The sequence below is a fragment of the Homo sapiens genome, chromosome 13 (assembly GCF_000001405.40).
Source record: "Homo sapiens chromosome 13, GRCh38.p14 Primary Assembly".
Lineage (NCBI taxonomy): Eukaryota > Metazoa > Chordata > Mammalia > Primates > Hominidae > Homo > Homo sapiens.
The window spans coordinates 28115125-28128918 of NC_000013.11; positions in this window are offsets into that span (position 1 = coordinate 28115125).

Below are 13794 nucleotides of genomic sequence, written 5' to 3' on the forward strand. Positions count from 1 at the left end.
AAAGTACTGAGATTACAGGTGAGAGCCACTGCACCTGGCCAAGGCTGCACATTTTAGAACTTAGTTTTTTGAAGCTTTTGAGCTCAACTTACAAGTATTGTCATTTAATTTATAAATCGAATATAGTTTTGAAATTTAAAATACTCATCTTACTTGTACTTTGATAATCATCTTATAAATTTAAATTATTGAATTGTATTAAATCTTCCTAAACATTCAACACCTTTATGAAATTCTCTTAGAAGTTTCAAACTAGTCACACATTTAGTAAATTTATTCCTCTGTAGTGCTTCAAACACTTAATAAAAGTCTAATTAAACTTTCTCAGCATTTAAGAAGCATTTACATGCATAATAATACAAAATTTGCAGATATACTAATTAGATTCCTTCACATGTTTACACAGTCATTACAAACTTAATTAGCTACATTTTTCTAAGGATTTCACCTAAAAACATAAATCTGTCAGATTCTCTTAAAACACATGAAACACCTCAAATCATGAACAAAACACAGAAACTATAACAGATTGCAAACTTATTACACCTGCACAAAAATGTTAAGATTGTAATTTGCATCAATTTTTTTTATAATTTAAAAACTTCCCAGAGTTGCAAGTTTACTCACCTGCCTAAGAGGAGCTCAGGATGGCTGTGATTTGTGCTTATGATTATTGGTTGTAGATCTGGCATCAGGAGTTGGAAGCTGGGTGCACCTTTCAGGATAATTCACACAGGCCAGTCTCTTTTGGCTAGTTCACATCACGTTTTTCAAAATTAAAAAATCTGGCTTCTCATGTATTCCTCTTAGCCACTGCTACCTTTTCTTTTTTTTTTTTTTTTTTTTTTTTTTTTGACAGGGTCTCACTCCGTCGCCCAGGCTGGAGTGCAATGGTGCAATCTTAGCTGACTGCAACCTCTGCCTCCCAGGCTCAAGAGATCCTCCCACCTCAGCCTCCCAACTAAATGGGACTACAGGCATGCACCACCATGCCTGGCTGTTATTTGTATTTTTTGTAGACACTGGGTCTTGCCATGTTGCCCAGGCTGGTCTGGCACTCCTGAGCACAAGCACTCTCTGCCCACCTCTGCCTCCTCCCAAAGTGCTGGGATTACAGGTGTGAGCCGCTGTGTCTGGCCACCACCACCTTTTTGAACTGTAATCTCTTACACAACTTTTCACTTCCTGAACTGAGTGGAAGGAATGTTGCACTCCCAGCTAGTTACTCTCATTCATTTGCACCTCTCCACTCCAGCACTTTTCATGATGACAAATACCCGTCCAATCGTCTACCCTTAAAGAACATAGACACCCTTGCTGCCAACAACTTTGACTACAATTTATCAGTCCTTTTCTATTGTTACACCTTGAAATCTTCTACCTTTGAAATCTTAAATTTCAATACACCAATCTAATAGCAACTCCCAATCCCCTCCCTGGTCTGCATCTTAATTCAAGTCTAATTAGGTTTGCATGATTAAAAATCTGCTAGAATTAGTCTGGAAGGTGACTTTTAAAAGAAGGAAAGGGAATAACATGGCTTGATAGTGCCAATATAAAGAATCTATTATCAATTCGAGTGATTGCTAGGTGATGGACCTGTAGGGAGAGATCACTAGATGAGTTCAGGTGGTAAATAGAAAACTCCTGTTGGGGTGCAGTGAGAGATGAAGGTAGTGAAATGAAAGGATGGGGATCAATTTTATATGAGGGCTTTAATTTGAAATGGGAATTTGGTGATATTCTCAGAGCAGCACAAGTTTTCATGCCATGGAAAAGCAGCAGGAAAAATGTAAACCTTGCCAATAACACGGGAAAGTCTCCAAGGGTGCCCAGTGACTTACTTGCCTATAAACAAAGCCATTCCTGAGCACTTCTGGCTATGAAATTTCAAAATACATGTTTTAGAGAATTTTACTGACACTTTTATGATTTTAGAGGATAATTTAGATTTCATAAATTTTGTTTCCTTCCCTTTGCCCCTAAAAATCATGAACATAATCCTGAAAATCTCAGCATTCCAACAAACAATAACCAAATGTCTTCAGTCAGTTAGGATTGCTATGAGTATATATACCAACAACATTTGAACATTTCTAGATTTATGGTTAACAAAAAAGAATCATATTAACTAAAGACTTTCTCTGCTTGAATCGGTTTCAAGTATTCAAGGGATTATTAATGGATTTTAGTTAAAGTTAAAATGGTTCACAACTAGCAACCTTTACGCTGATCCTAAGAATTTCCACCTCCTGTCATTCATGCTTTTGGGTAATGCCCTCCCCTGAGTGTAAGAGCTAATGACTCCCTTCTGACACAAAGAACATGGCAAAATTGACAGGACATCATTTTCACAGTTTGGTTACAAAAAAAAAAAAACTGTGGCTTCCAGCCTGAGCAGCAAACTCAGACCTTGTCTCTACAAAAAAAATTTTAAATTAGCCAGACATGGTAGTGTGAGCCCAGCTGCTCGGGAGGCTGAGGCAGGAGGATCTCTTGAGCCCCAGGAATTCAAGGCTGCAGTGAGCCATAATTGCATCACTGCACTCCAGCCTGGGCAACAGTGAGAACTTGTCTTAAAGAAACAAAGCAGGTTCTTTCCTCTCAGAAGCCCCTCTCTCTTACTAGAGAGAGAGCTGTTCTCCTCTCTCTTTCTTCTATTAAACCTCCGCTCCTAAAAACACAAAAACAAAACAAAACAAAACCAAAGCAAAACAAAACCCCTAAAAAACTAGCCTGGGCAACATGGTAAAACCCTGTCTCTACAAAAAACACAAATAAACTAGCCAGGCCTGGTGGTATGTGCCTGTAGTCCCAACTATTCAGGGAAGCTGAGGTGGGAGGTTTGCTTGAGACCGGGAAGTCCAGGCTGCAGTGAGCCGAGATGGCGCCACTGCACTCTAGCCTCGGCGACAGAGTGAGACTCTGTCGAAAAAAATAAAAATAAGACTGTTGCTTCCATCTTGTTTGCCCTCTCTCCTTCTGAGAGAAGTCAGCTACCATATCTTGAGCTTCCCCATAAAAGGTTCATGAGGCAACGAGCCAATGTCCCTGGCCAACAGCCAGGGAGGACATGAGGCCTGACAATAGGCACATATTGAGCTTAGAAGGCAATGCTCCCTCCCTCAGTCAAGCCTTGAGATGACTGCAGCCCTGGCTTTGATTACAGCTTGTGGGCGAACCTGGGACAGAGGAACCCACCTAAGCCACACCCAGATTCCTGACCCATAGAAACTGTGAGATAATAAATGTTCATTTGTTTGTTTGTGATGGAGTCTTACTCTCTTGCCCAGGCTGGAGTGCAGTGGCACAATCTTGGCTCACTGCAACCTCCACCTCCCGGGTTCAAGCGATTCTCCTGCCTCAGCCTCCCGAGTAGCTGGGATTACAGACATCCGCCATCATGCCCAGCTAATTTTTGTATTTTTAGAAGAGACGGGGTTTCACCATGTTGGCCAGGCTGGTCTCAAACTCCTGACCTCAAGTGACCCACCCACCTCGGCCTCCCAAAGTGCTGGGATTACAGGCATAAGCCACCACACCTGGCCAAATGTTTATTATTTTAAGATGCTAAGCTTTGAATTAATCTGTTAAGCTGCAACAGATAGCTATACGCTTTTTTTTAGCCCTTTCTTTCTCTCTCTCTTCCTTCCTTCCTTCCTTTCTTTTTTTTGACAGTCTCACTCTGTTGCCAGGCTGGAGTGCAGTGGCGTGATCTCTGGGTTCAAGCGATTCTCCTGCCTCAGCCTCCCAAGTAGCTGGGACTACAGGCGCACACCACCACGCCTGGCTAGTTTTTTGGATTTTAGTAGAGATGGGGTTTCACCATGTTGGCCAGGATGGTCTCGAACTCTGACCTCAAGTGATCCACTCGCCTCGGCCTCCCAAAATGCTGGGATTACAGGCATAAGCCACCACACCTGGCCAAATGTTTGTTATTTTAAGATGCTAAGCTTTGAATTAAAATGTTAAGCTGCAACAGATAACTATACGCTTTTTTTTTAGCCTAATTTCTTTCTTTCTTTCTTTCTTTCTTTTTTGAGACAGAGTCTCGCTCTGTTGCCAGGCTGGAGTTCAGTGGTGCAGTCTCTGGATTCAAGCAATTCCCCTGCCTCAGCCTCCCAAGTAGCTGGGACTACAGGCACATGCCACCACACCGGGCTAGTTTTTTGTATTTTAGTAGAGACAGGGTTTCACCATGTTGGCCAGGATGGTCTCCATCTCCTGACCTCGTGATCCACCCGCCTTGGCCTCCCAAAGTGCTGGGTAGCCTACTTTCAAACCTTAATAAATGAATTGAGAAATGTATAAAACTTTGGTCAGTGCAGGAAATCATTAAATTTGATGAAAGGAGAAAAAGTTAAAATGCATTGAAAAGAAAGAGGAGCAATGAGAATTTACTACTAATCATATATAAAACTGTATTTTTATTCTACCATTAATATAAATGTTTTGGCCGGGCGTGGTGGCTCACGCCTGTAATCCAGCACTTTGGGAGGCTGAGGCAGGCGGATCACGAGATAAGGAGATGGAGACCATCCTGGCCAAGATGGTGAAACCCTGTTTCTATTAAAATACAAAAAATTAGCTAGGTGTGGTGGCGCACACCTATAGTCCCAGCTACTTGGGAGGCTGAGGGAGGGGAATCACTTGAACCCAGGAGGCGGAGGTTGCAGTGAGCTGAGATCGCACCACTGCACTCCAGCCTGGCAACAGAGCAAGACTCTGTCTCAAAAAAAAAACAAAGTTTCTTTGGGTTGACCTCCCAAGGTGCTGGGATTATAGGCGTGAGCCACCATGCCAGGGTCATATTTGTTTACTCATTCATTTAATAAATATTTGTGGAAATCTTTCTGTGCACCAAGTGCTGAGTTAAATAGAAACAGTCCTTGCTCTCATGGAGCCCATAGCTCAGGAGGACAGTCAAATATGAAACAAATAATCTATAATTACAAATTGTGATAAATGCTACAAGGGGGAAGTGCAGGGTGCTGGGAGAGACTATATAAGAGAGACCTAATTTAAATTGGATGATAAGGAAAAGGCTCTCTAAGGAGATTTAAACTGAGACCCGCATCAGGATGTGTTCAAGTCAGTCAGGCAAAGCATATATGGTCGGGGAGAAGGGGCTGCATTCCAGGCAGAGGAAATGGTATGTATAAGGACCTTGAAGTAGAAACGTTTCTTGTGTGGAGGAACTGAAATAAGGCCTGAGGGGACCTACTGATAGGAGATGAGCTGGAGAGATATACCATATCACATAGGGCTCTGAAGGTCATGCTAAGGAGTCTGGATTTATATTGAATTCAATGGGACATGAAGGTTGTAACTGGGGGTGGCAAGGGTGTGATCATCCAGTTTACCTTGTAAAATGCTGATTGACTGCTCTGTAGAGAATAGATTATACAAGATAAAGTAGGAGGCTGATGCAATAGTATAGTAGAGAGATGATGATTTAAACAAGGCTCTGGGCAGTGGAGGGGAAGAGAAGACAATGGATGGATGTTGAAGGCTGAAGGGAGTTAGGTGATCAGGATGACTCTCAGGTTTCTTTTCTTTTTCTTATTATTTATTTATTTTATTTTGAGACAGGGTCTCACTCTGTGGCCCAGGCTAGAGTGCAGTGGCGCAATCATGGCTCACTGCAGTCTCAACTTCCGAGGCTCAAGTGATTCTCCCACCTCTGCCTCCCAAGTAGCTGGGACTACAGGCTCATGCCACCATGCCTGGCTAATTTTTTGTATTTTATTGGAGACGGGGTTTCACTGTGTTGCCCAGGCTGCATTAAACTCCTGGGTTCAAGCGATCCACCTGCCTTGGCCTTCCAAAGTACTGGACTCTCAGGTGTCTGCTTTAAGACAAACTGGGTGTTCGGAAATGCCCTTTATTTTATTTATTTATTTCTTTTTTGAGACAGAGTCGCTCTGTCGCCCAGGCTGGAGTGCAGTGGCAGGATCTCGGCTCACTGCAAGCTCCGCCTCCCGGGTTCACGACATTCTCCTGCCTCACCCTCCAGAGTAGCTGGGACTACAGGCGCCCGCCATCACCACCTAGCTAATTTTTTGTATTTTTAGTAGAGACAGGTTTCACTGTGTTAGCCAGGATGGTCTCGATCTCCTGACCTCGTGATTTGCCCGCCTAGGCCTCCCAAAGTGCTGGGATTACAGGCGCGAGCCACTGCGACCCGCCGGAAATGCCCTTTATTAAGATGGGAATGACTGGCAGAGAAAAAAGCTTGGAGAAATAGTGCAATTTTGACAAGCTAAGGTTGAAAATTCAAACAATAATGTCAGGTAAGCATTTTGACATACAAGTCTGGAGTTCAGAAGAGATGTCTGAGGTAGGGATAGAAATTTGGGTGTCACCAGCCTATGGGTAGTATTTAAGCCATGAGACTGAAATCTGGGAAGAGGTGAGATCATCTAGGAAAATAGTTCAGAAGGAGGAGAGAAGAGCCCAGAAACACAATATCCAAGTGAAAGTGTATATTCTGCAAGAAACTAGGCTTCTGAGTGTTGGGCTGCAGCAGCCAGCAGGCTTCCCTTTTCATTGGGAAATGAAATTATTCTGTTCATTGATCCATCCTGTTTTGTATATCTATATCGACTTTCTAAGTGAGTCCTCATCTAAAGGTCCTAGAGCAGTTTTTTTTTTCCTTGCTATCAGAGCCAAAGGAAGGATCCAGGTTTTTGGGATACCTGAATCATACAATTTTGGGAAACTTATTAAGGAAAAAGAATACAAAATTCTAAGTATAAAATTAGGCGCAAAAGTAAATATTTATTTAGAATTGAATCACAACAAATTACAGATTTTCAAAAGCTGACAAATATCACAGATTTCACAAAATCAAGACAAATAACTTAATTTTTATTAAATTATTTTAATTAATGAATTATTCATTAACCACATGACACAACTTTTTTCTTTTTCTTTTTCTTTTTTCTTTTTTTTTTTTTTTTGAGACAGGGTCTCGCTCTGTCACCCAGGCTGGAGAACAGTGGTGCAGTCTTGGCTCACTGCAGCCTCTTGTTTCCTGGGCTCAAGCAATCCTCCCACCTCAGCCTCTGGAGTAGCTGGGACTACAGGTGTGAACCACCATGCCCGGCTAATTTTTGTATTTTTAGTGGAGATGGGGTTTCACCATATTAGCCAGGATGGTCTTGATCTCCAGACTTCGTGATCTGCCCTCCTCGGCCTCCCAAAGTGCTGGGATTACAGGCGTGAGCCACCGCGCCCGGCAACAGCAGTGTTAACTACCCACAACTAGATCTCTTTTTCATTCCCTCTTTGACAGAGAACTGTTATTTCACTCTCATCATAAACTCTTGTGAGTTAGTCCCGGGGAAATCTCAAAGTGATGATTTAAGGACTGCTCTGGAAACCCCAAAGGCTAGTATTTTAGTTTCAGTTTTGCAAGATGAAAAGAGTTGTGGAGATTGGTTGCACAACAAAGTGAATATACTTAACACTACTGAACTGTACACTTAAAAATGGTTAAGGCAGGCCGGGTATGGTGGCTCACACCTGTGATCCCAGCACTTTGGGAGGCTGAGGCAGGTGGATCATGAGGTCAGGAGATCAAGACCATCCTGGCCAGCATGCTGAAACCCCATCTCTACTAAAAATACACACACACACACACAAAATTAGCTAGGCGTGGTGGTGTGTGCCTGTATTCCAGGTACTTAGGAGGCTGAGGCAGGAGAATTGATTGAACCCGGGAGGCGGAGGTTGCAGTGGGCCAAGATAGTGCCACTGCATTCCAGCCTGGCAACAAAGAGATACTCTGTCTCAAAGAAAAAAAAAAAAAAAAAGGTTAAGGCAGGGGCTGGGTGGGGTGGCTTACGCCTGTAATCCCAGCACTTTGGGAGGCTGAGGCAGGTGGATCACCTGAGGTCAGGAGTTTGAGACCAGTTGGCCAACATGGTGAAACCCTGTCTCTACCAAAAATACAAAAATTAGCTGGGCGTGGTGACAGGCACCTGTAATCCCAGCTACTTGGGAGGCTGAGGCAGGAGAATTGCTTGAACCCAGGAGGTGGAGGTTGCAGTGAGCCGAGATTGTGCCACTGCACTCCAGCCTAGGCGACAAGAGTGAAGCTCCATCTCAAAAAAAAAATGGTTAGGCATTATAAAGATACATGCATGCGTATGTTCATTGCAACACTATTGACAATAGCAAAGATATGGAATCAACTTAATGCCCATGAATAATAGACTGAATAAAGAAAATGTGGTACATAGGCTGGGCGCAGTGGCTCATGCCTGTAATCCCAGCACTTTGGGAGGCCGAGGTGGGCAGATCATGAGGTCAGGAGACAGAGACCATCCTGGCTAACATGGTGAAACCCCATCTCTACTAAAAATACAAAAATTAGCCGGGCATGGTAGTGTGAGTGCCTATAATCCCAGCTACTTGGGAGGCTAAGGCACGAGAATCACTTGAACCCAGGAGGCAGAGGTTGCAGTGAGCCAAGATTGCGCCACTGCACTCCAGCCTGGGCAATAGAGTGAGAGTCCATATCAAAAGAAAGAAAGAAAGAAAGAAAGAAAATGTGGTACATATACACCATGAAATACCATGCAGCCATAAAAAGGAACGAGATCATGTCTTTTGCAGGGACATGGATGGACCTGGAAGCCGTTATCCTCAGCAAACTAACACAGGAACAGAAAACCAAACACCACATGTTCTCATTTATAAGTGGGAGCTGCCGGGCGCTGTGGCTCATGCCTGTAATCCCAGCACTTTGGGAGGCCGAAGCAGGTGGGATCACCTGAGGTTGGGAGTTCGAGACCACCGTGACCAACACGGAGAAACCCCGTCTCTACTAAAAATACAAAATTAGCCGGGTGTGGTGGCACATGCCTGTAATCCCAGCTGCTCGGTAGGCTGAGGCAGGAGAATTGCTTGAATCCAGGAGGCGGAGGTTGCGGTGAGCCGGAGATCATGCCATTTGCACTCCAGCCTGGGCAACAAGAGGGAAACTCCATCTCAAAAAAAAAAAAAAAAAAAAAGTGGGAGCTGAATGATGAGAACACATGGACACGAAGAAGGGAACAACACATGCTGGGGCCTGTGGGGTGGGGGCTGGGGGAGGGAAAGCATCAGGAAGAATAGCTAATGGATGCTGGGCTTAATATCCAGGTGATGGGTTGATCTGTGCAGCAAACCAGCAGGGCACATGTTTACCTATGTAACAAACCTGCACATCCTGCACATGTACCCCTGGAATAAAAGTTGAAAATATAAATAAATAATACAAAAAAAAAAAAAGAGGAGTGCTAAGGCCGGGCGCGGTGGCTCACGACTGTAATCCCAGCACTCTGGAAGGCAGAGACGGGCGGATCACGAGGTCAGGAGATAGAGAGCATCCTGGCTAACACGGTGAAACCCCGTCTCTACTAAAAATACAAAAAAAAAAAAAAAAAAAAAAAATTAGCCGGGCGTGATGGTGGGTGCCTGTAGTCCCACCTACTCGGGAGGCTGAGGAAGGAGAATGGCGTGAACCCGGGAGGCGGAGCTTGCAGTTAGCCGAGATCGTGCCACTGCTCTCCAGCCTGGGCGACAGAGCGAGACTCGGTCTCAAAAAAAAAAAAAAAAAAAGGTTAAGGCTGTCATTAAAAAAAAAAAAAAAAAAAAAAACAAGGTCGGCCGGGCACGGTGGCTCACGCTTGTAATCCCAGCACTCTGGGAGGCTTTGCGGATTGCCTGAGCTCAGGAGTTCGAGAACAGCCTGGGCAACACGGTGAAACCCCGTCTCCAATAAAATACAAAAAAAATGGCTGGGCGCGGTGGCTCACGCCTGTAATCCCAGCACTTTGGGAAGCCAAGGCTGGTGGATCACGAAGTCAGGAATTCAAGACCAGCCTAGCTAAGATGGTGAAACCCTGTCTCTACTAAAAATACAAAAATTAGCTGGGCGTGGTGGCACGCGCCTGTAATCCCAGCTATTCCGGAGGCCGCGGCAGAGAATTGCTTGAACCCGGGAGGCGGAGGTTGCAGTGAGCCGAGATCGCGCCACTGCACTCCAGCCTGGGTTACAGAGCAAGACTCTGTCTCAAAAAAAAAAAAAAAAAAAAAAAAAAAAAAAAAAAAAACCCAAAAAACAAAGTCATGTCCTTTGCAGCAACTTGGATGTAGCTGGAGGCCACTACTCTAGGCGAATTAATGCAGAGATGGAAAACCCAGTACCTCACGTTCTCACTTAAAAGTGGAGGCTAGGCCAGGCGCGGTGGCTCACGCCTGTAATTCCAGCACTTTGGGAGCCCGAGGTGGGCGGATCACCTGAGGTCGGGAGTTCGAGACCAGCCTGACCAACATGGAGAAACCCCGTCTCTACTAAAAATACAAAATTAGCCGGGCGTGGTGGCGCATGCCTGTAATCCCAGCTACTCGGGAGGCTGAGGCAGGAGAATTGCTGGAACCTGGGAGGCAGAGGTTGCAGTGGGCTGAGATGGCGCCACTGCATTCCAGCCTGGGCAGCAGAACTAGACTCTCAAAAAAAAAAAAAAATACATAAAAGGCAGATTGGAGAAAGGCATACAAATTTATATAATGTATACATGGGGAGAATCACGGAGTGATTATCCATTCCCAAAGGAGTTCAGAAGCTTATACATCATCCTGGCAAAACGGGTTATGGGGGATGAGAAGAGGAATTGTGTTGAGGGGATTACTAGGTAGAATGAATGGATCAGGAAACAGCGATTAATCTGTACATAAGCTTGTGAAAGGGTCTGTTCAGGTGTACATTCTTGGCCTTACAGGGTGTGAAAGAAAAAAACAATTGTTCTCCTTGGCGGGTCTGGATCTCAGGCAGAAAAAGGAACTTCAGAAAATTTCTTTCTTATTTGGGAAAGTCTAGGGGAGGGTGGAGGGTGAGAATGTCAGAGAGACCTTGAGGTATTGGTTTCCGAGTCCCAGTGGTAGTATTCATTTTTGTTTTAATTTTCATTTCCTTGATTATTAATGATATTGAATACCTTTTCACATGCTTATGGGCTATTTGCGTATCTCTTTTTTTTTTTTTTTTTTTTTTTTTTTTGAGATAGGGTCTCGCTGTTGCCCAGGTTGGAGTACAGTGGCACAATCATGGGGCTCACTGCAGACTTGACTTCCGGGGCTCAAGTGATCCTCCCACCTCAGCCTTCAGGGTAGCTGAGACTACAGGTGCACGTCACCATATCCAGATAGTTTTTTCAATATTTTGTAGAGATAGGGTCTCACAATGTTGCCTGGTCTGGTCTCAAGGGATCCTCCTGCCTCAGCTTCCCAAAGTGCTGTATTGCAGGCATGAGCCACCATACCCAGCCCTTTCATATCATCTTTTGAGAAATGCCTTTTCAAATCTCTTACTAATTTTTATTGGGGTGCTTATTATTTTCTTATTGATTTGTAGGAGTTCTTTACATGTTGTCTGGTTATATGTGTTGTTCATAACCCACTCCCACTCTTCACTATTTTAGAAGTGGCTTTAAAGATTAAATTCTTGATTGCACAACTGCACTCCAGCCTGGGAGACAGAGTGAGACTGTCACACACACACACACACCACGCAAGAAAGAAAGAAAAGAAAAAAAAGGCCAGGCACGGTAGCTCACGCCTGTAATCCCAGCACTTTGGGAGGCTGAGGCCAGCAGATCACCTGAGGTTGGGAGTTCGAGACCAGCCTGGCCAACATGGCGAAACCCCGTTTCTACTAAAAATACAAAAATTAGCCGGGCATGGTAGAGGGCGCCTGTAATCCCAGCTACCCAGGAGGCTGAGGCAGAAGAATCGCTGGAACCTGGGAGGCAGAGGCTGCAGTGAGCTGAGATTATGCCACTGCACTCCAGCCTGGGTAACAGAGCAAGACTCTGTCTCAAAAAAAAAAAAAAAAAAAAAAAAAAAGATTAAATTCATAGCAAGATCTCCTCTCTGCTGAAAAAAAAAATAGTTGGGTGTGGTAGCGTGTGCCTGTAGTCTCAGCTACTCAGGAGGTTGAGGTGGGAGGATCATTTGAGCCTGGGAGATGAAGTCTGCAGTGAGTTATTATCTTGCCACTGTACTGCAGCCTGGGCAACTGGGGAAAATCCTGTCTCAAAATAAATAAGCAAATATGCACTTTTTTTTTTCCCCCTGAGACCAGGTCTCATTCTGTTGCCCAGGCTGGAATGCAGTGGCACAATCACGGCTCACTGCAACTTCAACCTCCTGGGCTCAATCAGCCCACCTCAGCCTCCTGAGTAGCTGGGACTACAGGTGCACACCACCATGCCTGGCTAATATTTGTATTTTTTGTAGACAGGGTTTTGTCATGTTGTCCCGGCTGGTCTCCAAATCCTGGGCTCAAGCAATCCTTCTGCCTTGGCCTCCTAAAGTGCTGGGATTACAGTCGTGAGCCACCATGCCTGGCCTGGAACTGTTAAAATCTTATTGGTGAATTTAACTTATCAATATAAAATGTCCCTCTTGGCCGGGCGCAGTGACTCACAGGCCTGGCACTTTGGGAGGCTGAGGTGGGCGGATCACGAGGTCAAGAGATCAATACCACCCTGGACAACATGGTAAAACCCCATCTCTACTAAAAATACAAAAATTAGCTGGGCGTGGTGGCACGCGCCTGTAGTCCTAGCTACGTGGGATGCTAAGGCACGAGAATCACTTGAACCCGGGAGGCAGAGATTGCAGTGAGCTGAGATACTGCACTCCAGCCTGGCGACAGAGCGAGACTCCGTCTCAAAAATAAAGAAAACAAAAGTCCTTCTTTATCTCTAGGAGTATTTCTTGCTGTTAGTGCTCATATTATACATTTTTACCAGCTTTTTCCTTTGTTTTCTTGATTCCTTATTTTTAAGGTAGCATACTGTGGTAGATTTTATTTTCCAAAGGTGGCCTCAACAGTATGTCCCCATCCCACATGCTCTTCTAGAAACTACATCTTCATCAAAAGATAGAGTTAAACTCCCTATTCCTTGAGTCTGGGTAGGTAGGTGCCTGCTTCCATGAATAGCCTATAGTGGAGTTGACCCTGTGTAACTTCTCAGGCTCAGTTAGAAAAGGCCATGCAGTTTCTGCATGATTCTCTTCAGACACTCTTGGAACCCAGCCACAGTGCTGTGAGGGAGCACAAGCAGTCCATATTGAAGACCAGGTGGAGCAGAATTGAGGCCTTGGCCCACAGCCCTGGGTGATCTAGCATATGACAACTAGCACCAACTTGTCAACCATATGCCTGAGATATCTTGAAAGTGGCTTCCCATTCAGGTGAGATGTGGCAAAATAAAAAAGAGAAAAAAAAAAAAGAAAGAAAGTGGATTCTCAGCTCCCAGACAAGCTGCCCTGGGTGACACTGCATGGGGCAGATATAAGCCATTGCTGCCAAATACTACCAAAATTGAAGACTTGTAAGCAGAAATAAATAATCTGTAAGCAGAAATAAATGATTGTTTTCAGCCACTATGTTTCGAGGTGGGTTGTTATTCAGCAGTGGATAGCCAGAAGTGGAATAGAACCTTACAGATGGATTGTCTGTATTATTTCTGGATTCTCTGGAATTAGTTCTCTAATCTAATTAGGTTTAAAGGTATTGATTACCTTGCTTCCACTAGTAAAGGGGGCACATGTTAATTGAGCCACTGAATTAGGAGTTGAAACTGCACTTAGCCATATTTAGCTTTCTGAAACAGTAAATAAAAGAAGGAAATTATTGTAGTAGCTGGGGTGACTAATCCTATCAAGAAGAAACTGGACAGTCTGGACAACATAGTGAGACCCTGTCTTTACAAAAAAAAAAAAAAATCAGCCAGG